Genomic DNA, 25,648 nt, shown 5'->3' on the forward strand with positions numbered 1-25,648 from the left:
ACAGGGAACAGCACATAGATGAGATTGTGACACTTATATTCATACCCAGCTGACAGAAAAATTGTCATTCTTCCACATAGACATAGCTCACTGTGGAGGCTCTGAATCTCACACCAGGAGGCAGGTAAAAGTTGGAAAATGAACTGTTACTTATATGTGGATCTGGTCTACAGGTAGGTTGGTGACTCTCAGACCAAGGTTCAGCACACCTATAAAGGCTGTGACTTCACTACAGAGACACAGTCCATAGGAAGGATTGAGGCCCTCATGCAGAGATCCAGTTCACCATTGCGACTGTGGCTCATGCACACAGATTTAACATTCAGGAGACAGTGCCTCCTATACCTAGAACTAGGGCATGTGCAAGATAGATTGTTCATCTTATCCCTGGAGCTTCCTGCAGGTATGATTGTGATGTATGCCTCTGCTCAGCATTTGAGTGACTTAATACTCTTGCCTGCCTCAACCAACAAATGGGGTTGTTATGGATTTTATGTGACTCTCTTGCCTGTGCCCTGCCCACATGGGCAATTGTGATGTATTTCTGGGTTCAGAACCCAGGTGATATTACTCTCCTGCCTGGTTCCTGGCTACATAGGACATTGTGATATATCACTGCAGCCATCACCAAGGTGATGTGAGTCTCTCCTCCTGTCTGGTTTCCACTCACAGGGGTAATTGTGACCTATCACTGGGTCCAGCACTGAGGTGATTTTATTATTTGCATCTTACTGGGTTCTGCCCACAGGGAAGACGGTGACATATCACTTTGCCCAGCACCAAGGTTACATTACTCTGCTGCACTGGCCCTGCTTTCAGAAGGCATTGTGACATATTGCTGGGCCTTTCACTTAGATAAGACGACTTTTCTCTCCTGCCTTGGTGCTTCCCACAGAGGGAACTGTGACATATTACTGGGCCACACCACCAGCTTATGTGACTCTCTTGCCAGTGTTCTGCCCATGTGGGCCATTGTGACATTTGGCTGGGTCCAACACTTAGGTAATGTAACTCTCCTGCCTGGGTTCTACCTAGAGAGAGCATTGTGACATCTCTGCATCCATCATGCAGGTTATGTGACTTCTTTTCTACCTGATCTCAGCTCCGAGGGGCATATTGTGCCATATTATTTGGTTCAGCAACTAGTTGAAATGATTCTTCTCTTCTTCATAATTTCTGCCCTCAAAAGAGATTGTGACATATTGCTGGGCCCATCACTAAAGTGACATTACTCTTTTACTTTGCCCTCAGAAGGTATTGTGAAATAATGCTGGGCCAAGCACCAAGGTGATATGAGTCTTCTGTCTTGACCTTGGTCACATGAAGCATTGTGACATATCTCTGGGCCCATCTACTATTTGATGTGACTCTCCTTTTTTACCTGGTATTTGCCCATAGGAAAGATTATGGCATATCTCTAGGTCCAGCACCTAGGTGATGTGACTCTTCTCTCCTGCCTGGGCCATGCCCACTGAAGTGAGAGTGACTTTATCTCTAGGCCCAACACACAGATGATATGATACTTCTGTCTGGTCCCTGCTCACAGAGGTCATCATGACATACCTTGTATACCTTGGGGCTATCACCTTGATAATGTGACACTCCTCTTTTTCCTGGGACCTGTCCACAGTGGTTGTTGTGACATATTGCTTTGCCCAAGACCTGATTCCATAGTTTATGCTACTCTCTTCTACCCTAAACCTTACCCATGAAGAAAATTGGGACATATTTCTGGACCCCTCACTTAGGTATTGTGACTCCTGCCTGGGCCATCACCTCTGGTGGTATTGTGCCATATGGCTTGACCCAGCACCTCAGCGATGTAACCCTCCTATAATGCTAGAGCTCTTTCCAGGCAGAGTGTGATTTATTGCTAGTGAAGCACTCAGGTATGTACCTGTTCTCTCCTTCCTGGGACCCGCATTTGTTGGTTATCGTGACATACCACTAGGTCCAACACCCTGCTCGCAGGGGTATTATGTGTCTTTTCATTCATCACCTAGGTGATATGAAAACTCTGCCCTTGCTCTCCCAAAATTGGAGATTGTGACATATCATTGGACCCAGCACCTAGGTGATGTGACCCTGGTCTTTTGCCTCAGTTTAGTATATTTTATGTATTGTGACATATTACTGGGCAAAACACCTAAAGGATGGGAGGCTCCTGCCTGAGTCCTGACCACAGGGGGTCTTGTGACACGTTTCTTCATCCATCAACTATGCGATGTGACTATTAATCTCTGCCTTGGTTCTGCCAAAAAAAAAGAATTGTCATTAGACCCAGCAATTTGTAACGTGACTCTCCTCTCTTTTCTGGACCCTGGATACATTGTGTATGGTGACATTTGGATGGGTCAACACCGAAGTGATCTGACTCTTGAATGGCCTCTTCCCACAGAAGTATTATCGCATAAATTTTCTTTCATCACCTAGATTGAATTGTTAATCTAATCCCTTGATCTTGCTGAAAGTGTGATTGTGAAATATGCCTCTCCCCAGCACCTGAGTGATTTGACTCTCCTGCCTTGGCCCAGTCCACAGATAGCATTATGACATGTTGCTGAACCCGGCACCTAGGAGATGTGACTTTATTTTCCTGCCTTGGTACTGCCCACAGTGAGTATTGCGACACATAGCTTGACCTTGCACCCAGGTGATGTGAGTCTCCCCTCCTTTCTTAGCATGGCCCACTGGCAGCATTGTGACATATTGCTGGTCCCCACACCCAGGTTGTGTGACTCTCCAGCCTGTGCCTTGCCCACATGGATCACTGGGACATATTGCTGGGTCTAACATCCAACACACGGGTCACTGGGGCCTATTGCTGGGTTCAACATAAAGGCAATTTAACTCTCCTGCCTGAGTCCCACCTACAGGGGACATTATGACATATCTCTATGCCAATCACCCAGGTGTTATGACTCTCTTCTCCTACCTTATCCCTGTTCACAGTGGGGATTGTGACATATCACTAGGCCTAGCACCTAGCTGATGTGACTCTTCTCTTTTTTCAAGGTTGTGTCCACAGGAGCGATTTTGATGTATTGCTGGGCCGAACACAAAGGTGATGTAAGTTTTCTGCCTTGGCCCTACCAAAAGAAAGCATTGGGACATATTGGTGGACCCAGAACCAAGGTGCTGTGAGTCTCCTACCTGGATCCTGGCTGCAGGAAGCATTGTGCCATATCTCTGCACTCATCAACTATTTGGTGGAGTGCTCTTCTCTTGCTTGGGCTTATCCCATTGGAGATATTGTGATGTATCTCTGGGCCCATCGCCTAGATTACATGGCACTCGTTTTCTTCCTGGGACCTATCCACAGTGAAGATTGTGACATATCGGTAGACCCAGCACCTACATGATGTGACTTTCTTCTCATACTGGGGTCATGCCCACTGTGGTGATTGTGACATATAACTGGGCCCAAACCCTTGGTTTTGTGACTCTCCTTTTTTTCTGAGCCCTACACAAAGAAAAAATTAGAACACGTATATGGGCCCCTCCCTAGGTGATATGACTCTCTCCTCTCTTGCCTAGCCATGCCCACAGAAGTGAGAGTAACTTATGACCAGCACACAGGTGATGTGATTCTTCTGCCTGGTTCTTGCTGACAGGAGTCATTAAGACATGTCTCTGGGCCTATCAGCTAGATGATGTAACTCTCCTTTTCTTCATGAGACCTGTCCACAGCAGGAATTGTGACCTATTGCTGAGCCCAGTGCCTGTGTGATGTAACACTCCTCTCATTCTCTGGCTCTTCCAACTAGAATGATTGTGACATGAAGCTGGGCCCAGACCCTAGGTTATGTGACTCTTCTTTTCTTACTGAGCCTTACACATGGAGAAAATTGCAACATATTATCGAGCCCCTCACCTAGGTGGCATGACTTTCATGACTAAGCCATTCACTCAGAGGGGTATTGTGACATATTTTTGCACACACACTGATGTGATGTGACTCTCCTCCTTTGCTTAGGCCCTGTCCAAGGAGGTATTTTGATGTATCACTGGGCCCAGTACCCAGGTTATTTGACTCCCCTCTTCTGCCTGGGCCCTGAATACATTGTGCATTGTGATGTATGGCTGGGTCCAAAACATAGATGATGTGGCTCTCCTCAATGGACTTTGCCCACAGAAGTATCAGAAGAGATTAAAAAAGAGATTAAGGCCGGGCATGGTGGCTCATGCCTGTAATCCCAGAACTTTGGGAGGCCGAGGCAGGCGGATCATGAGGTCAGGAGATCGAGACCATCCTGGCTAACACGGTGAAACTCTGTCTCTACTAAAAAATACAAAAAATTAGCCGGGTGTGGTGGCTGGCGCCTGTAGTCCCAGCTACTCGGGAGGCTGAGGCAGGAGAATGGTATGAACCTGGGAGGCGGAGCTTGCAGTGAGCTGAGATCAAGCCACTGCACTCCAGCCTGGGTGACAGAGCGAGACTCTGTCTGAAAAAAAAAAAAAAAAGAGATTAAAATCTCTTAATTCTACACCTAGGCGATTGGACTCTTCTTTTATGCCTGGGCACTGCACACAGCTGAGATTGTGACCTTCATATGCATGCCCAGCCAACAGTATAAACTTCTTTCCTTCCACGTAAACAGCCCACTGTTGAGGTTCTGAATCTCACACCCAAAGGCAGGGAAGTGGGGAAATCGACTCTCATATGTAGATTTGGTTCACATTTGCGTTTGTGACTCTTAAATCAACATTTAGCAAACCTGTGAGGCCATCACTCTACTAAGAAGACACAGTCCACAGGATGGATTGAGGCTCTCATTCTTTGGTCCAGTCCACCATTGAGACTGTGACTCATGTAGTTATACCCAACATGACATTTCACTGTGCCGAGCACCTAGCTGATGTGACTCCTTTTATTTCTGGGTTCTGTCTCCAGAGAAGATTGTGAAATATTGCTAGGCCTTTCACCTAGATGATGTTACTGTCTTACCTCGGCTCTTTCCTCAAGGAATATCGTGACATATTGCTGGACCTAGCATCTAGGTGATCTGACTCTTTTCTGTTGCTAGGGATCTGCCTAAAAAAAGGATTTAGTTGTATTGCTGGGCTTAACACCTAGGCAGTGTGACCCTCCCCTCCCACCTGAGTTCTTCATACATTGTGTATTGAGACATAGGGTCAGGTCCAACACCTAGGTTATGCAACTCTCCTTGATGGGCTCTGCCCTTAGGGGTATCTTTTTATTCATTGCCTAAGTTATGTGACTCTCCTTTTCTGCCAGAGCTTTGCCAGAAGTGGGGATTGTGACATATAACTGGACCCAGCACCTCGGTAATATGACTGTTCTTGTTTTACTGGCCTGAGCATATTTTGGGTACTGTGATATATCTCTTAGCCCAACACCCAGGGGCTGGGAGGCTTCTGCTTGGGCCCTGTCCACAGGGGGCCTTTTGACATATTTCTGCATTTATCACCTAGGAGATGTAACTCTTCATTCTGCCTGAACCCTGGCCACGAAAAAAAAATCGTGACAGATTTTTTAGGCCAGTAACCAGGTGATGTGAATTTCCTCTCCTACCTAGGCACTGCCCATAGGGGGCACTGTGACATATCACTGGGCTCCACACCCAAGGTATGTGATTCTTCTGCCTGTTCCCTGCCCACATAAGGCATTATAACATGTTATTTAGTCCAAAACCCAGGTAATGTAACTCTCCTGCTTAGACCCTGACTACAGGGGGCACTGTGACATATCTCTATGCACATCTCGCAGGTGATATGACACTCTCGTTTTGCCTGATCACTGCTCATGTGGGGGATTGTAAAATACCACTGGGCCAAGCACCAAAGTGACATTGCTCTTTTCTCTTTGGCTTGGCCTTGCCCTCAGAAGGCATTGTGACATATTGCTGGACCCAGCACCAACGTGATGTGAGTCTCTTTCCTGAACTCTGTCCACAGGGGACATTGTGACATATCTCTGGGCCTGTCAACTACTTGATGTAACTCTCTACTCTTACCTGGGCATTGCCTGTAGAAGAGATTGTGACAATTCCCTCCTGAAAGCAGAACACGGGCAGCCGAGTTACATAACCTGGACGCATGGCCTAGTGATAGTTCCCAATCTTCCTTGTGGGCAGGGTGCAGGTAGGAAAGTCATATCTTCTAAGTGATAGATGCAGATAAGTATCAAAAGGTCCCCACATAGGCAGGATCCATGCACAAGCCTCCCATCTCCCAGTGGTGGGGCCCAGCAATTTGTTACGATACCCAAAATATGTGAGGCCCAGGCAAAAGGAGAGAGTCACATCACCTAGGTGCTGTGTTCAGTGATATGTCACAATCCTTCTATTTGGCAGGGCTCTGGTGGAATAAGAGAGTCACATCACATAGGTAATAAAGAAAAAGATATTTTAAAGTACCCTGTGGGCAAAACCCAGGCAGGAGAGTCACATCATGTAGGTATTGGACTCAGCCATATGTCATAACACACAATGAATACAGGACCCAGGCAAAGGAGGAGTCATATTATTTAGGTGCTGAGCCCACAGGTATATATCAGAATCTCACTTTTTGGCAAAGCTCAGATGTGAAAAGAGCATCATATCCAATAGTTGAGGGGCCTAGAGATATGTCAAAATGCCCTGGGTGGGCAGGGACCATGTGGAGGATTAAGGTAAAAGAGGAAAGTTACATCAAAAGTTTATAGACTAAAAAATACGTTGCAGTGCTCTCTGTGGGCAGGGACCAGGCAGAAGAATTACATCACTTGTGTGCTGAGGTCAGCAATAAGTCACTTTTTTTTTTTTCTGAGGGGGTTTGTCCAGAAGGAGAGGACCCAGAGACAGAGATATGTCAGAATCTTTCAAAAGCAAAGTGCAAGTAAGAATAGAGAGTCACATCAAATAGTTGATAAGTTTGAGATATGTCACAATGTGTCTCCAGGCAAAAGAGCCACATGATTTTTGTGCTAGGCCCAGCAATAGGGCTGAATGCCTTTCCAGGTCAGGGCCAAAGCGAAACGGTAACATCCTGTTAGTGTTGGGTCCAGTGGTATGTCACAATTTTCCCTGAAGACAGAACCTAAAAACAATAGAAGAGCCACAATCCCCTCTGTTAGCATGAATCAGGAAGGGGAAGAGATTTATGTAACCTGGTTGATGGGTACACACATATATCACAATGTCCTCTGTAAGAAGTTCCCAGGCAGGGAAGTTTCATTACCTAAGTGTCAGGAATCAGGAAGGAGAAGAGATTTATGTAACCTGGTTGATAGGTACACAAATATGTCACAATGTTTCCCGTAAGCAGTGCCCAGGCAGGAGAGTTACATTACCTAAGTGTTAGACTCAGCAGTATGTCCCATTGGCCCATGTGGGCAAGGCACAGGCAGAAGAGCCACAAATCCTTGACACAGGATGCAGCAATATATCATAATGCTCCCTGTATACAACACCAAGGCAGAAGAAAAGACTCACATAACTTGGGTGCAAGACCCAGCAGTATGTCATAATTCTTCATGTGGGCAATGACAAGGCTTGAGAGTAGAGTCACACCACCAAGGTGCAGGGTCGAGCAATATGTCACAATTTTATCTGTGAGTTCACTCCAGGCAGCAAAGTCGAACCACTTAGGTGCTGGGTAAAGGTGTATGTCACAATCACACTTGCAGGAAGGTCCAGGAATAAGATCACAATCCCACACATGTTCTAGTTCTAGGTGGGAGTGTCAACATATCTTGTATGTTGGGTCAATCTCTCCCAAGAGGATTGACCGTACACCCATATCACACCCTGCTGACAGTAAAGATTGTTATCATTTCCCGTGAACACAGCCCACTGTTGAGATTCTGAAACTCACACCTGGAGGCAGTCAAAAGTTGGAAAATTGACTCTCATATGTGGATCAGGTCCACAAGTGTTCTGGTGACTCTCAGGCTAAGATTCAGCAAACCTGTGAGGCTGGGACTCTACTAAGGTGAGATAGTCTGCAGGAAAGATTGAGGCTCCCATGCACTGATCCAGTCCACTGCTGAGATGGTGACTCATGTACTTAAACCCAACATACAAGAGGTGCTGACTTTCATACCTAGAACCCGGACATGTGTGGGCTTGTTAATACCATCCCTGCACCTTCCTACAGGTGTGATAGTTAAATAAGTCTCTGCCCAGCTCTTAAGTGATTTGACTCTCTTGCCTGGGCCCGGCCCACAGTTCAAAATGTGCCATGTTGCTGGACCTGGCCCCTAGGTAATGTGATCTAGTCTCCTGTCTCAGCACTGCCCACAGTGGGCATTGTGACATATCACCGGGCCTTGCACCCAGGTGATGTGAGTCTTCTCTTCTGCTTTGGCACTGCCCAAAGTAGACATTGTTACATATCACCAGGCCTTGCACTCAGGTAATGTAACTGTCTTGTCATGGCCCTGCCTGCAGGAGGCTCCATGATGTCACTGTCTTCTTCTACCTGGTCTTTGCTCACAGCGGGTATTGTGACATATTGCTATGCCCAGAATCCAGCTGATGTGACTCTCCTCTTTTTTCTAGGTTCTGCCCACAAGGGAAATGGTGACATATCACTGTGCCCAGCACCAAGGTGACGTTACTCTTTTGCCTTGGCCCTGCCCTCAGAAGACATTGTGACAAATAGCTGAGCCCAGAACCAAGGTGAACCTGCCTGAAACCTCCCCACAGGGTCATTGTGACCTATCTCTGGGCCAACCAACTATTTAATGTGTCTCTCCTCTCTTGCCTGGGACTTGCCCATAGGAAAGATTGTGACATATCTCTGGGCATAGGACCTAGGTGATATGACTTGCTGTGCTTGTCTGGGCAATTTCCACAGAAGAGAGAATGACTTATTCCTGGGCTCAGCATACAGGTGATGTGATTCTTCTGCCTGATCACTGCCCACAGGAGTTATTGTGACATGTCTCTGGGCCAATTACCTAGATAATGAGACTCTTCTCTTCTTTCTGGGACCTGTCCATGGCAGGGATTGTGACATATGGCTTGGCCCAACACCTACCTTTTTTTTTTCTCCTTTTTTTTGAGATGGAATTTTGTTCTTGTTTTCCAGCACGTAGTGCAATGGTGTCATCTTGGCTCACCGCAACCTCCGCCTCCAGGGTTCAAGCGATTCTCCTGCCTCAGCCTCCCAAGTAGCTGGGATTACAGGCACCCACCACCACACCCAGCTAATTTTGTATTTTTAGTATGGATGGGGTTTCTTTGCCCCCCTTATTTAGGCGATGTGAATTTTTTTCTTGGGGCCTACCCTCAAAGGGTATTGTGACAAATTGCCAAACTCAGCACCTAGTTTATGTGACTCTTTTCTATTGCTTGAGCTATGCCCTGAAAGGGACTGTGATGTACCACTGGGCCTAGCACCTAGGTGACATGACTTGCATCTTCTGCCTGGGTACTCTATATATTGTGTATTGTGACATATGGCTTGGTCCATTGAGACTCTTCTGCATGGGCTCTGGCCACAGGGGTATTATGAAACATTTTTTTATTCATCACCTAGGTGATGTGACTCTCCTCTTCTTCCTGGGCCTCACATATCAGTGGACCAAGCACCTCTGTGATTTGACTCTCTTTTTTTCTCAAAATCCACATACTTTGGATATTGTGACATATTGCTGGGTCCAAAACTTTCAGAAAGGGAAGTTCCTGCCTGGGCACTGCCTTGTGATAAATATCTGCATTGTCACGCATAGGGCCTTGTGATATATATCTGCGTCTGTCACCAAGGAGATGTAACTCCCCTCTTCAGCCTGCATTCTGTCCACATGGAAGATTGTGACATATTCCTCTCCCAGCCCCCGGTTGATGTGACTCTCCTGCTCAATCCTTACCAACAAATGAGATTGTGACATATATCTTGGCCTAACTTCTATGTGTGATGATGACTCTCATTCCTCAAATTAGCTAGTAAAAATAAATACTCTCTCTTATAGCTAGGCTGAGGGAAACAGGTAAGATGCTGGGTCTCCTCTTTGTACAAAGATCATAAAGAATTACCACTTTCTCCCACATTGTATAAAGCCCTTGGGTGATGCAGAGAGCGTAAATTCAGGGGAGATTTTTCTTTTCATAGACACACCCAGCCAACTATTAGCACTGTCACCTTGACACATGAAGAGAGCCCAATGGTGACATCCTCAATCCAACTTATGGATGCAGTCCACGGTTAGATTTGTGATTGCATATGTGAACATCTGAACATCTGGCCACAGTTGGAATGTTTACTCATTTCTTTTTCTCTTTTTTTTTTTTTTGAGACGAAGTCTCGCTCTTGTCACCCCGGCTGGAGTGCAATGGCGCAATCTTGGCTCACTGCACCCTTCACCTCCTGGGTTCAAGCAATTTTCCTGCCTCAGTCTCCCCAGTAGCTGGGATTACAGCCACCTGCCCCCACATCTGGCTAATTTTTGTATTTTTAGTAGAAATGGTGTTTCACCATGTTAGCCAGGCTGGTCTCGAACTCCTGACCTCAGGCAATCCACTTGCCTCAGCCTCCCAAAGTGCTGGCATTACAGGTGTGAGCCACCACACCCAGCCCATGGTTACTCATTTCTAAACCGAGCTTATAGGCAGGTGAAGACCCTCCTATCTAAAACCAGTCATTTTAAGAGATATTCAGTCTCATATCTGTGCCTACAACCACAGGTAAGATAGTGGTTATAAGCCCAAATACAGTTATAAACCTAGAGCATTGTGACATATCTCTGGATCCAAGTACAAAGGTTTCAGAGCAGATTGCAACTCTCATGCATACTGTGTGATGTCCTTAGTAAAACAGAGAGGGTCCCTACAGTATCCAGCACACAAGTAAAATTGTGACACTTGTATGCACACATGGCCAACAATAAAGACTGTCATTCAACCACATAAACACAGCCAATGTTGGGGTCCTGAATCTCACAACCAGAGGCAGTCAAAAGTTGGAAAATTGACTCCCATACATGGATCTGGTCCACAGGTGGGTTTGTGACTCTCAGGCCAAGATTCAGCAAACCTGTGAGGCTGTGACTCTATGAAGAATATACAGTGGACTTGAGGGACTGTGGCTCCCAAGCATGGATCCAGTCACCTGTTGAAATTGTGACTCATGTACTTGGACCTTACATACAGGAGGTATCGACTCTAATACCTAGGACCGGGACATGTACATAATTGTTCATTTTATCCCTGGACCTTTATGCAGGTGTGATTGTAAAATATTTCTTTGCCCAATACCTGAGTGATTTGACTTTCCTAGCTGGGCACAACAGGTGGAATTGCGACATATTGCTTAACTCAGAACCTACGTGATGTGTCATTATTCTCCTGCCTTGGTATTGCCCACAGGGGCATTTTGCTATATCTCTGGGCTTTGCACCAAGGTTATGTGGGCCTCCCCTCCTGCTTTGGCACTGCTCACAGGGGTATTGTGACATGTTGCTGGGTTCTGCATCTTGGTACTAGATGGCTTCTGCCTGTGCCCTGTCCCCAGGAATAATTGTAAAATATTGGCTGGGTGCAGTGGCTCATGCCTGTAATCCCAGCACTTTGGGAGGCCAAGGTGGGTGGATCAAAAGGTCAGGAGTTTGAGACCAGCCTTGCCAACATGGTGAAACTCCGTCTCTACTAAAAATACAAAAATTAACTGGGCATGGTGGCACGCACCTGTAATCCCAGCTACTCAAGAGGCTGAGGAAGGAGAATTGCTTGAACCCAGGAGGCGGAGGTTGCAGTGAGTTGAGATCATGCCACCTCACTCCAGCCTGGGCAACAGAGCAAGGCTCTGTCTCAAAAAAAAAAAATCGTGACATATTGCTACGTTCAACACCCAAATGATGTAACTTTCCTGCCTCAGTCCTGCTTAATGGGGGCATCATGTTATATACCTCTGCACCTGTCACTCAGGCAACATGACTCTCTTCCCCTGCCTGGTCCTTACAGAGGAGATTGTGACCTACTGCTGGGCCCAGCACCTAGCTGATGTGACTCTTCTCTTTTTCCTAGGTTCTACCAACAGGGAAGATTGTGACATATCACTGGGCCTAACACCAAGGTGTAGTTACACTTTTGCCTTGGCCCAGAACTCTGAAGTTCACTGTGACGTACTGCTGGGCCCAGCACCAAGGTGATGTGAGTCTCCTGCCTGGAGCCTGCACACAGGGGCTATTGTGACATATCTCTGGGCCCATTTACTATTTGTTGTTACTCTCTTCTCTTACCTTGGCTTTGCCTGTAGGAGAGGCAAATCCCAGCACTTTGGGAGACCAAGGCGGGACATAACTCTGGGCCCAGCACCTAGGTGATGTGACTCCCTTTTCTGCCTGGATGGTGCTCACAGAAGAGAAAGTGACTTATTTCTGGGCCCAGCAGAGAGGTGATGTGATTCTTCTGCCTGGTCCCTGCCCACAAAACTCATTGTGACTTAACTCTGGGCCCATCACCTAAATGACGTGACTCTCCTCTTCTTCCTGTGTCCTGTACATGGTAAGTATTGTGACATTTCACCAGGCCTTGCACTTACTAATGATGTGATTTTTCTCTCATGCCTTGGGCCTGCCCACTGAGATAACTGACATAGCTAAACTCAGCCTTTATGTTATGTAATTTTCCTCTTTTTCTGAGTTCTACCAACAGGGAACATTGTAACATATCTCTGGGTCCATCACCTGGATAATGTGACTCTTCTTGGGACCTATTCACAGTGAAAATTGTGACACATCTCTTGGGTAAGCAACTACATGATATGACATTTCTGTTATGCCTGGGCTCTGCCAACTGGGGTGATTGTGACATATAGCTGGGCCCAGCCCCTAGGTTATGTGACTCTCCCTTTGTTTCTGAGCCCTCCCCAAAGGGGAAATTGTGACATATATCTGGGCCTGTCACTCAGGTAATGTGACTCTCCTGCATGAGCCCTCTCCTCAAAGGGTATTGTGACATGTTGCTGAACCCAGAACCTGTGTGAATTGACTCTCTTCTACTGATTGGGCTCTGACCAAGAAAGAATTGTGACGTATCATTAGGCACACCACCAAGGTAATATGACTCTTCTATTGTTTGGGCTTTGTCCAATGAGGGATTTTGACATATTACTGGGCTCAGATCCAGGTGATGTGACTCTCTTTTACTGCCTGAACCTTGCATACATTGCATATTGTGATATAGGACTGAGGCCAACACCTAGGTTTTGTGACTTTTCTGCATGGGGCCTACACACAGGGGCATTCTGTCATATATTTTTGTTCATCACCTAGAAGATGTGACTCTTCTCTTTTACCTGGGCATGGCCAAAAGGGGATTGTGACTTTATTAGTCCATTCTCATACTGCTATAAAGAACTGCCCAAAACTAGGTAATTTATAAAGGAAAGAGGTTGAATTGACTCACATTTCAGCATGACTGGAGAGGCCTCAGGAAATTTACAATTATGGTGGAAGGCAAAGGAAAAGCAAGGCACCTTCTTTACAAGTTGGCAGGAAGGAGAAATTCTGAGCAAAGAAGGAAGAGCCCCTTATAAAACCATCAGATCTTGTGAGAACTCACTATCATGAGAACAGCATGGAAAAAAACCACCCCCTCATTTAATTACCTCCACCTGGTCCCTCCCTTGACGTGTGGGAATTATAAAGATTACACTTCAAGATGAGACTTGGATGGAGACACAGAGCCAAACAATATCTTTGACATATTGGTGGACCAAAATCCTAGATGATGTAACTCCCCTCTTTTTGCTTTGCCCGACATATTTTTGGTACTATGACATATTGCTAGACCCAGAACCTAGGGAATGTGAGTCTCCTGCTTGAGCCCTGCCTGCAGGGAGCCTTGTGAAATCCATCCATCCCCTAAAAATTGCATCTGTCACCTAAAACTTGTGACTCTTCATTTCTGCCTGCATTTTGCCAACAAGAAAAATTCTGACACATTTCTGCATGCAGCAACCAATAGACGTATCTCTCCTGCCTGGGCCTTTCCTACAGGGAGCACTGTGACATATTGCTGGTCCCAGCACCCAGATGAAATGATTCTGCTTCTTCTGCGTTGCTTTCTTTATTTTTTTTTTTTTAATTTTATTATTATTATACTTTAAGTTTTAGGGTACATGTGCACAACGTGCAGGTTAGTTACATATGTATACATGTGCCATGCTGGTGTGCTGCACCCATTAACTCGTCATTTAGCATTAGGTATATCTCCTAATGCTATCCCTCCCCCCTCCCCCCACCCCCCAACAGTCCCCAGAGTGTGATGTTCCCCTTCCTGTGTCCACGTGTTCTCATTGTTCAATTCCCACCTATGAGTGAGAACATGCGGTGTTTGGTTTTTTGTCCTTGCGATAGTTTACTGAGAATGATGATTTCCAATTTCATCCATGTCCCTACAAAGGACATGAACTCATCTTTTTTTATGGCTGCATAGTATTCCATGGTGTATATGTGCCACATTTTGTTAATCCATTCTATCGTTGTTGGACATTTGGGTTGGTTCCAAGTCTTTGCTATTGTGAATAGTGCCGCAATAAACATACATGTGCATGTGTCTTTATAGCAGCATGATTTATAGTCCTTTGGGTATATACCCAGTAATGGGATGGCTGGGTCAAATGGTATTTCTAGTTCTAGATCCCTGAGGAATTGCCACACTGACTTCCACAATGGTTGAACTAGTTTACAGTCCCACCAACAGTGTAAAAGTGTTCCTATTTCTCCACATCCTCTCCAGCACCTGTTGTTTCCTGACTTTTTAATGATTGCCATTCTAACTGGTGTGAGATGGTATCTCATTGTGGTTTTGATTTGCATTTCTCTGATGGCCAGTGATGGTGAGCACTTTTTCATGTGTTTTTTGGCTGCATAAATGTCTTCTTTTGAGAAGTGTCTGTTCATGTCCCTCACCCACTTTTTGATGGGGTTGTTTGTTTTTTTCTTGTAAATTTGTTTGAGTTCATTGTAGATTCTGGATATTAGCCCTTTGTCAGCTGAGTAGGTTGCAAAAATTTTCTCCCATTTTGTAGGTTGCCTGTTCACTCTGATGGTAGTTTCTTTTGCTGTGCAGAAGCTCTTTAATTAGATCCCATTTGTCAATTTTGTCTTTTGTTGCCATTGCTTTTGGTGTTTTAGACATGAAGTCCTTGCCCACGCCTATGTCCTGAATGGTATTGCCTAGGTTTTCTTCTAGGGTTTTTATGGTTTTAGGTCTAACATTTAAGTCTTTAATCCATCTTGAATTAATTTTTGTATAAGGTGTAAGGAAGGGATCTAGTTTCAGCTTTCTACATATGGCTAGCCAATTTTCCCAGCACCATTTATGAAATAGGGAATCCTTTCCCCATTGCTTGTTTTTGTCAGGTTTGTCAAAGATTAGATAGTTGTAGATATGTGGCGTTCTTTCTGAGGGCTCTGTTCTGTTCCATTGATCTGTATCTCTGTTTTGGTACCAGTACCATGCTGTTTTGGTTACTGTAGCCTTGTAGTATAGTTTGAAGTCAGGTAGCGTGATGCCTCCAGCTTTGTTCTTTTGGCTTAGGATTGACTTGGCGATGCGGGCTCTTTTTTGGTTCCATATGAACTTTAAAGTAGTTTTTTCCAATTCTGTGAAGAAAGTCATTGGTAGCTTGATGGGGATGGCATTGAATCTATAAATTACCTTGGGCAGTATGGCCATTTTCACAATATTGATTCTTCCTACCCATGAGCATGGAATGTTCTTCCATTTCTTTGTATCCTCTTTTATTTCATTGAGCAGTGGTTTGTAGTTCTTCTTGAAGAGGTCCTTCACATCCCTTGTAAGTTGGATTCCTAGATATTTTATTCTCTTTGAAGCAATTGTGAATGGGAGTTCACTCATGATTTGGCTCTCTGTCTGTTATTGGTGTATAAGAATGCTTGTGATTTTTGCACATTGATTTTGTATCCTGAGACTGTGCTGAAGTTGCTTATCAGCTTAAGGAGATTTTGGGCTGAGACAATGGGGTTTTCTAGATATACAATCATGTCATCTGCAAACAGGGACAATTTGACTTCTTCTTTTCCTAACTGAATGCCCTTTATTTCCTTCTCCTGCCTAATTGCCCTGGCCAGAACTTCCAACACTATGTTGAATAGGAGTGGTGAGAGGGGGCATCCCTGTCTTGTGCCAGTTTTCAAAGAGAATGCTTCCAGTTTTTGCCCATTCAGTATGATATTGGCTGTGGGCTTGTCATAGATAGCTCTTATTATTTTGAGATACATCCCATCAATACCTAATTTATTGAGAGTTTTTAGCATGAAGGGTCGCTGAATTTTGTCAAAGGCCTTTTCTGCATCTATTGAGATAATCATGTGGTTTTTGTCTTTGGTTCTGTTTATATGCTGGATTACATTTATTGATTTGCGTATATTGAACCAGCCTTGCATCCCAGGGATGAAGCCCACTTGATCATGGTGGATAAGCTTTTTGATGTGCTGCTGGATTCGGTTTGCCAGTATTTTATTGAGGATTTTTGCATCAATGTTCATCAAGGATATTGGTCTAAAATTCTCTTTTTTGGTTGTGTCTCTGCCCGGCTTTGGTATCAGGATGATGCTGGCCTCATAAAATGAGTTAGGGAGAATTCCCTCTTTTTCTATTGATTGGAATAGTTTCAGAAGGAATGGTACCAGCTCCTCCTTGTACCTCTGGTAGAATTTGGCTGTGAATCCATCTGGTCCTGGACTCTTTTTTGTTGATAAGCTATTGATTATTGCCACAATTTCAGAGCCTGTTATTGGTCTATTCAGAGATTCAACTTCTTCCTGGTTCAGTCTTGGGAGGGTGTATGTGTCGAGGAATTTATCCATTTCTTCTAGATTTTCTAGTTTATTTGCGTAGAGGTGTTTGTAGTATTCTCTGATGGTAGTTTGTATTTCTGTGGGATCGGTGGTGATATCCCCTTTATCATTTTTTATTGCATCTATTTGATTCTTCTCTCTTTTCTTCCTTATTCGTCTTGCTAGCGGTCTATCAATTTTGTTGATCTTTTCAAAAAACCAGCTCCTGGATTCATTGATTTTTTTGAAGGGTTTTTTGTGTCTCTATTTCCTTCAGTTCTGCTCTGATTTTAGTTATTTCTTGCCTTCTGCTAGCTTTTGAATGTGTTTGCTCTTGCTTTTCCAGTTCTTTTAATTGTGATGTTAGGGTGTCAATTTTGGATCTTTCCTGCTTTCTCTTGTGGGCATTTAGTGCTATAAATTTCCCTCTACGCACTGCTTTGAATGTGTCCCAGAGATTCTGGTATGTTGTGTCTTTGTTCTCGTTGGTCTCAAAGAACATCTTTATTTCTGCCTTCATTTCGTTATGTACCCAGTAGTCATTCAGGAGCAGGTTGTTCAGTTTCCATGTAGTTGAGTGGTTTTGAGTGAGTTTCTTAATCCTGAGTTCTAGTTTGATTGCACTGTGGTCTGAGAGACAGTTTGTTATAATTTCTGTCCTTTTACATTTGCTGAGGAGTGCTTTACTTCCAACTATGTGGTCAGTTTTGGAATAGTTGTGGTGTGGTGCTGAAAAAAGTGTATATTTTGTTAATTTGGGGTGGAGAGTTCTGTAGATGTCTATTAGGTCTGCTTGGTGCAGAGCTGAGTTCAATTCCTAGGTATCCTTGCATTTCTTTCAACAAGAGATTTTAAAGTATTCTCTGCCACACGTACAAATGATGTGACTCTCCTGTCTGGTCCCTGCTTTCAGGAAAGGTTGTGAAATATTCACGGCCTAGCACCTAGGTGATGTGGCTGTCCTGCTCACTTCTTACTGAGAGGAGGGATTGTGACATATATCTTGTTTCAGCCCACAGGTGCAATAATGACTATTATACCTTGAACCAACCAACAGGAGAAATACCTTCTATTATATTTAGGCTTAGGGAAATGAGTACGATCATGGGTCTCCTCTTTGTAGAAAGGTCATAATAAGTTACCACTCTCCTATATCATATAGAACATTTGGGTACTAGAGTGTTCTTGCAGATCCCAGAACACAAGTGAGATTGTGTTATTATATGTGCATTTCACCAGCCATTAGAATTTTTACCCTCAGACATAAACATAGCCTACTGCTGAGGTCCTGAAACTCACACATGAACACAGTCCACAGTTTGAATTGTAACTGTCGTATCTGGAAAACAAGCCACAATTGGAATGGTTACTCATTTCCTGTTGACTGTGTCCAGATAGGAGAGTTCTCACCTGCCTATAAGTTGGGTTTAGGCTTATAAGCAGGTGAGGACTCTCCTTTCTGGACACAGTCAATAGGAAAGATGTTGACTCTCATACTTGGGCTTAGGGCCGCAGGTACAGTCATGGGTCCTTTCCAGCACGAAGGAATCAGAGCAAAAGTGGACTCTCATGCATGTTGTATAAAGCCCTCAGGTGGTACAGAAAGTATTCTAATAGGGCCCAGCACACAAGTGAGATTTTGACACTCATATGCACACTTAGGTGACTGTAAAGATTGTCTTTCTCCCACATGAACACAGCCCACTGTTGAGGTCCTAAATCTCACACCCTGAGGTGGTTGAAAGTTGGAAAATTGACTCTTATACTTGGATCTGTTCCACAGATGGGTTTATGACACTCAGATTAAGATTCAGCACACCTGTGAGGCTGCGTCTCCACTAAAAAGACACAGTGCACAGGACAAAATGGGGCTCTCAAGCATGGATTCTGTCAGCCATTGAAATTGTAACTCGTGCACTTAGAACCACCATACAGGAGATGTTAACTCTTATACATAGAACTGTGACACGTGTGAAATTGTTAATCTCATCCCTGGACCTTCCTGCAGGTGTTATTGCTACATAGGCCCCAGTGCAACACCTGAGTGATTTGACTCTACTGCCTTGACCCGGCCCACGTATGAGATTGTGACATGTAACTGGACACAGAACCTAGGTCATGTGACTCTATTTTCCTTCCGTAGCACTGCCCACAGAGGGCATTTTGACTTCATTGAGACTTGCACCTGGGTGATGCGTCTCCTCTCACGCCTTGATACTGCACTGTAACATATCACTTGGTCCTATGCCTATTTGATTTAACTTTCTTGCCTAAGCCCTGCCTATACAAAAATTGTGACATATCATGGGCCTATCACCCAACTGATGTGACTATCTGGTCCTGGCTCACACGGGAAAATGTAACATATGGCTTGGTCCAGTACCTAGCTGATGTGACTCTTCTCTTCTGAGGTTTTGCTTGCTGGGGAGATTGTGACATCATGCTGGGCCCAACATGATCATAATGTTACTCTTTTTCCCAAGCATTGCCCTCAGAAGGCATTGTAACATATTAGTGTTACCAGCACCAAGGTGACGTGTGTCTCATATTTGAACCCTGCCCACATGGGGGCATTGTGGCATATCTCCGGGACCATCAACTATTTAATTTGACTCTCCCTGCTTACCATGTCTTTGCTCATAAGAAATGTGGTGTTGGCCTGGTGCGGTGGCTCAAGCCTGTAATCCCAGCACTTTGGGAGGCTGAGGCAGGTGGATCACAAGGTCAGGAGACTGAGACCACCCTGGCCAACATGGTGAAACCCCGTCTCTACTAAAAATACAAAAATTAGCTGGGTGTGGTGTCGTGCGCCTGTAGTCCCAGCTACTCAGGAGGCTGAGGCAGGAGAATCGCTTGAACCTGGAAGGCAGAGGTTGCAGTGAGTCGAGATCTTGCCACCGCACTCCAGTCTGGGCAACAGAGCGAGACTCCGTCTCAAAAAAAAAAAAAAAAAAAAAAAAAAGAAATATGATGACATATCTCTGGGCCCAGTACCTAAGTAATGTGATGCTCCTCTCTTGCCTGGGCCATGCCCAGAGAAGAAAGAGTAATATATTGCTGTTCATCTCCTAGGTGAAGTGACCTAGCACAAAGGTGATGTGATACTCTTGCCTGGTTCCTGTCAATAGAGCTAATGATGATATATCACTGGGCCCATAGCCTAGATTATGTGAGTCTCCTTTTCTTCTTTGAACCTGTCCACAGTGGAAATTATAAAATATCACCAGGCCTTGCATTCAATTTTTCTGACTCTCCTGCTTGTGCCATGCTTACATGGGGCATTGTGACATATTTCTGAATCCAACACCAAAGTGATGTTACTCTCTTGTCAGAGCCCTGCCTACAGGGCATATTGTGACATATCTCTGCATCCATCACCCAGGTGATTTGACTTTTTTCTCCTACCTGGTCCCTAATCACAGAGGGGACTGTGACAAATTACTTGGCTCAGCACCTACATCATGTGACTGTCCACTCATGCCTCAACCATGCTCACTAGGGTGATTGTGAAATATAACTTGGTCTATCCCATAGGCTTTATGACTTTCTTTTTCTTCTTCCTTAGCCTTAATGCAGGATGCATTGTGATATACCTCTGGGCCTCTCACCTAGGTGATGTGACTCTCCTGCCTGGGCCCTCCCCTTAGGGTATATTGTGACATATTGCTGGGGCCAGCACCTAGGTGATGATGTGACTCTCTTCTACTGCTTGGGTTCTGTCCAAGAGATTGTGATGTATCACTGGGCCAAGAGGCTAGGTGATGTGACTCTCCTCTCCTGCCTGGGCCCTGCATACATTTTACATTGTGACATATGGCTGGGATCAAAACATAGGTGATGCAACTCTTTTGCCTGTGCTTTGCCCGCAAGGGTATTATGACATGTTATTTTGTTCATCACCTAGGTGATGTGACTCTTTCCTTCTGCCTGGGCCCTGACAAAAAAGGGGATTGGAGCGTGTCACTTGACCCAACACCTAGGGGTGATGTGACTGTCTTATTTGCCTGCACCTTGCATATATCGGGTATTGAGTCCTATGGCTGAGCCCTACATGAATGGGATTTAAGACTCCTGCCTTGGCCCTGCCAACAGGGGGCATTGTAAAGTATCCCTGCATCTGTCACTGAGATGTGACTCTCCTGTTCTGCCTGCATCCTGCCTATAAGGAAGATTGTGACATATTGCTGGGTCCACGATTGAGACAATGTGTCTTTCCTGCCTGGGTATTGCCTACAGGGAGCATTGTGACATATCACTGGGCCCAGCATGCAGGTATTGTGACTCTGCTTTCTTTGCCCTGATTTCCAGAAGGAATTGTGACATTTCCCTGGCCTGGTACCCAGATGATGTGACTCTCCTGGTGCCAGTCCTCAGGGAATATTGTAACACGTCTTTTTCCCAGCACCCAGGTAAACTTACTCTCCTGCTTACTCTCTACCCACAGCTGGAATTCTGATATATATCTTGTCCAAGCTCAGAGGTATGATGATGACTTTTATTCCTTGAGCCTGCCAATATGAGCAATGCTGTCTCTTGTACTGAGGCTTAGTGTAACGGGTAAGACCCTGGGTCTCCTCTTTATATAAAAGTTATGGGCAGCCTGGCGCGGTGGCTCAGGTCTGTAATCCCAGCACTTTGGGAGGCCAAGACGGGTGGATCATGAGGTCAGGAGTTCAAGACCAGCCTGGCCAAGATGGTGAAACCCCATCTCTAATAAAAATACAAAAATTAGCTGGGCGTGGTGGCGGGCGCATGTAATCCCAGCTATTTGGGAGGTTGAGGCAGAGAATTGCTTGAACCCGGAAGGCGGAGGTTGCAGTGAGCTGAGATTGCACCACTGCACTCCCGCCTGGGCGACAGAGTGAGACTCCATCTCAAGAAAAAAAAAAAAGTTATGGGAGCTGGGCGCAGTGGCTCACGCTTGTAATCCCAGTACTTTGGGAGACCGATACGGGCAATCTCCTGAGGTCAAGAGATGACAACCGTCCTGGCCAAAATGGTGAAACCCCGTCTCTACTAAAAATATAAAAATTAGCTGGGCATGGTGGCACTTGCCTGTAGTCCCAGCTACTTGGGAAGCTGAGGCAGCAGAATCGCTTGGACCTGGGAGGTGGAGATTGCAGTGAGCCGAGATCGCGCCACTGCACTCCAGCCTGGCAACAGAGTGAAACTTCATCTTAAAAAAAAAAAAAGTTATACGGGATTACCACTCTCACATGTTACATAATGCCCTTCAGCGATACAGAGCGTGTCATCACAGGGCCAAGCACAAAGGTGAGATTGTCTTTTTTGCATGCACACCCAGCTGAATGTTAGGATTGTCACCCTCACACATGAAAAGAACAAATTGGTTAAGTCTTGAATCTCACACATAGATGCAGTATGCAGCTGAATTTTTGACTCTCACATGTCAACATCCAGCCACAGTTGAAATGGCAACTTATTTTTAAATCCAGGTCATAGGTAAGTGTGAACTCTTTTATCAGAAGCTAGCTAATTAGGCTGGGCATGGTGGCTCACACCTGTAATCCCAGCACTTTGAGAGGCCGAGGTGGGCAGATCACCAGAGGTCAGGAGTTTGAGACCAGCCAGGCTAATGTGGCAAAAACCCATCTCTACTAAAAACACAAAAATTAGCTGGGCATAGTGGCTTGTGCCTGTAATCATAGCTACTCAGGAGGCTGAGGCTGGAGAGTTGATTGAACCCAGGAGACGGAGGTTGCAGTGAGCTGAGATGTACTCCAGCCTGGGTGATAGAGTAAGACTCTATCCCCACCACCCCGCAACCCAGAAAAAAAAAGAAAGAAACAAACAAAGAAACAAAGAAAAAGAAACTAGCCAATTGGAAAGGTATTTACTCTTATACACGGGCTCAGAGCCACAGGTATGATCATGGGGCCTGCACAAATTACAACTCTCATGCATTCTGTATAAAGCTCTTGGGTGATAAAGGGAGTGTTCTCACAGAGCTCAGCACAGAGTTGAGATTGTGACACTCCTGTGCAGCTACACTGTAGTAAAAACTGGCATCCTTCCACATGAACACAACCCATTTTTGAGGTTCTGAATCTTCCACCCAGAAACAGTCAAAATCTGGAGAATTGACTCTCTCTCTCTCTCTCTTTTTGAGACAGAGTCTTGTTCTCTCATCCAGGCTGGAGTGCACTGGCACGGTCTCAGCTCAGTGCAAACTCTGCCTCCCAGGGTCAAGCGATTCTTGCGCCTTAGCCACCCAAGTAGCTGTGTTTACAAGCATATGCCACCACACCCGGCTAATTTCTGTATTTTTAGTAGAGAGGGAAGTTTACCATGTTGGCCAGGCTGGTCTCAAACTCCTGGCCTCAAATGATCCACCCACCTTGGCCTCTCAAAGTGCTTGGATTATAGACATGAGCCACCATGTCCAGCTGAAAATTGACTCACACGTGGATTTGGTCCACATGTGAGTCAGTGACCCTCAGACCAAGATTCAGCACGTGTGAGGCTGTGACTCTACTAAGGAGGTCACAGGAGGAATTGAGACTCTCATGCAGAGATTAAGTTTACCATTAAGATTCTTACTCATAGCCGGATGCGGTGGCTCACGCCTGTAAACCAACACTTTGGGAGGCAGAGGCGTGCAGATCACCTGAGGTCAGGAGTTCGAGACCAGCCTGACTAACATGGTGAAACCCTGTCTCTACTAAGAATACAAAAATTAGCCGGACATAGTGGTGAGTGCCTGTAATCCCAGCTACTCAGGAGGCTGAGGCAGGAGAACCACTTGAACCTGGGAGGCAGAGGTTGCAGTGAGCCGAGATCGTGCCATTGCACTTCAGCCTGGGTGACAGAGTAAGACTCCATCTCAATAAATAAATAAATAAATAAAACTAAAATAAAAAAAATTTTAAAAAGATTTTTACTCATGTGCTTAGACCAATCACACACAAGGTGTTGACTCTCACACCTAAAGCTGGAACATGTGTGGGATTGTTCATCTCATCCCTGGACTTTCCTACAGGTGTGGTTCTGACACATGCCTGTGCCGAGTATCTGACTGATTTGACTTCCCTTCCTAGGGCACGCCCACAGATGGAATTTTAATATTTCTCTGGGCCCAAAACTCAGGTGATGTGATCTATACTCCTGCCTTGGAGCTGCCCACAGAGAGGACATTTGTGACATATTGCTTGGCCTCTGAGCCCAGGTTATGTGACTCTTCTGCCTGTGCCCTGCCCACATTGACCATTTTGACATATTGCAGTGTCCAAGACCCGGGTGATGTGACTCCTCTGCCTGGGCCCTTTTTACAGGGAGCGTTGTGACATATCTCAGCACTCATCACTCAGGTGTTCTGACTCCCTTTTCCTGCCTGGTTTCTGCTCACAAGGGGCTTTTCACCTATTGCTGAACCCTGCACTTAGCTATTGTGACTTTTTTCTTTTTCTTAGGTTCTGCCCACAAGGGAGATTTTGACTTATTGCTGTCCTCAAAATGAAGGTGATGTGACACTTTTGCCTTGGACCCACCCTTGAAGACATTGTGACATATTTCTTAGCTCAGCATCAAAACGATGTGTCTTCTTAGTAGACTCTGCCAACATGGGGCATTGTGACATATCTTTGGGCCCATCAGCTATTGATGTAACTCTCTTCTCTTACATGGACTTTGCTCACAGAAGAGACTATGAAATATCTCTGGGCCCAGCAAATAGGTGATGTGACTCTTCTCTACTGCTTGGGCTCTGCTCATGAGAAAATTGTGATGGATTGCTGAACCCAGCACCTAGGTAATGTAACTCTCTTCTCTTGCCTGGGCCCGGCATAAATTGTGTATTGTGACATGGGGCTCGATCACAAACCTAGGTAATGCTACTCTCTTGCATTGGCTCTGCCCACCAGGGTATTATGACACAACTTTTCATTCATCGCCTAGGCGATGTGACCCCCCGCTTCTGCTTGAATCTTGCCAAAAGAGGAAATGATAACATATCACTATACTCAGCACCTAGGTGCCATGACTTGCCTTTTTCCCCAGGCAATGCATATATTGGGAATTATGACATATCACTGGACCCAACATGTAGGGAATAAAAGACTCCTGCCTGTGTTCTGCTGACCTAGAACCTTGTGAAATATCTCTGCATCTATCACCCAGAGAATCTGACTCTCCTTTTCTGCATGTACCCTGTCCACAAGAAAGATTGTGACATGTCACTAGACCCAATAACCAGGTGGTGTGTCTCTCCTGCCTTGATCTTTCTCACAGGGAACTTTGTGAAATATCACTGGGCCCAGCACCCACGTGATGTGACACTGCTGGCCTGTGTCCTGCTTTCAGGAGGGGATTGCAAAATATCCCTGGCCAAAAACCCAGATGTTTTCTGGGTTTTGTCCCTGTCCTCAGGGGAGATAGTGACATAGGCCTAGCCCAGCACCCAAGTAATGCGACACTCTTATTTTGCTCACTTCCTACAGGTGGGATTGTGACATATATCTGGGGCCAGGTCACAAGTACAATGATGACTCTCAAATCAGCCAATAGGAGAGACACTGTTACTCATAGCTAGCTTAGAAAAATGGGTAAGATCCTCGGTCTTCTCTTTGTATGAAGGTTATTCAAGACTACTGCTCTCTTGCATATCACATAAAGCCCTTGGGTGGTAGAGTGTGACATTCCAGAGCCCAGCACACAGGTGAGATTGTGTTTCTCATATGCACACACCACCAACCATAAGGATTGTCACCCTCAAACATGGACAGATCCCACTAGTGAGGTCCTGAATCTTACACGGAGACATAGTTCACAATTGGAATTGTGATTGTCATTTGTTAACATCTGGCCACAGTTTGAATGGTGACTCACTTCTAAACTTACCACATGGGCAGGTGATGACTGTATTATTTTCACACAGCC

The 25,648-nt window shown here is 45.3% G+C and overlaps 2 long non-coding RNA genes across 4 annotated transcripts; one reads left to right on the forward strand and one right to left on the reverse strand.

Annotated features, from left to right (window-relative positions):
* LOC124901656 (uncharacterized) lies at positions 1-24,857 on the forward strand. 3 transcript variants are annotated; one of them, XR_007060350.1, is made up of 7 exons: positions 1-124; positions 2,500-2,616; positions 3,016-3,069; positions 8,505-8,624; positions 11,970-12,449; positions 12,588-12,691; positions 24,184-24,857. It is a non-coding gene; the product is annotated as an uncharacterized LOC124901656 (long non-coding RNA). The 3 variants fall into 3 exon arrangements; XR_007060351.1 differs by lacking the exons at positions 1-124; positions 2,500-2,616; positions 3,016-3,069; ... (1 more) ...; positions 11,970-12,449; positions 12,588-12,691 and adding an exon at positions 20,441-21,025; XR_007060352.1 differs by lacking the exons at positions 1-124; positions 2,500-2,616; positions 3,016-3,069; ... (1 more) ...; positions 11,970-12,449; positions 12,588-12,691 and adding an exon at positions 21,043-21,162.
* On the reverse strand, positions 2,141-5,096 carry LOC105375326 (uncharacterized). The gene is made up of 3 exons (XR_927602.2): positions 4,949-5,096; positions 2,936-3,089; positions 2,141-2,251 (listed from the first exon to the last, which is right to left on the reverse strand). It is a non-coding gene; the product is annotated as an uncharacterized LOC105375326 (long non-coding RNA).
* Positions 24,858-25,648: the final 791 nt, after the last annotated feature.

The sequence above is a fragment of the Homo sapiens genome, chromosome 7 (assembly GCF_000001405.40).
Source record: "Homo sapiens chromosome 7, GRCh38.p14 Primary Assembly".
Lineage (NCBI taxonomy): Eukaryota > Metazoa > Chordata > Mammalia > Primates > Hominidae > Homo > Homo sapiens.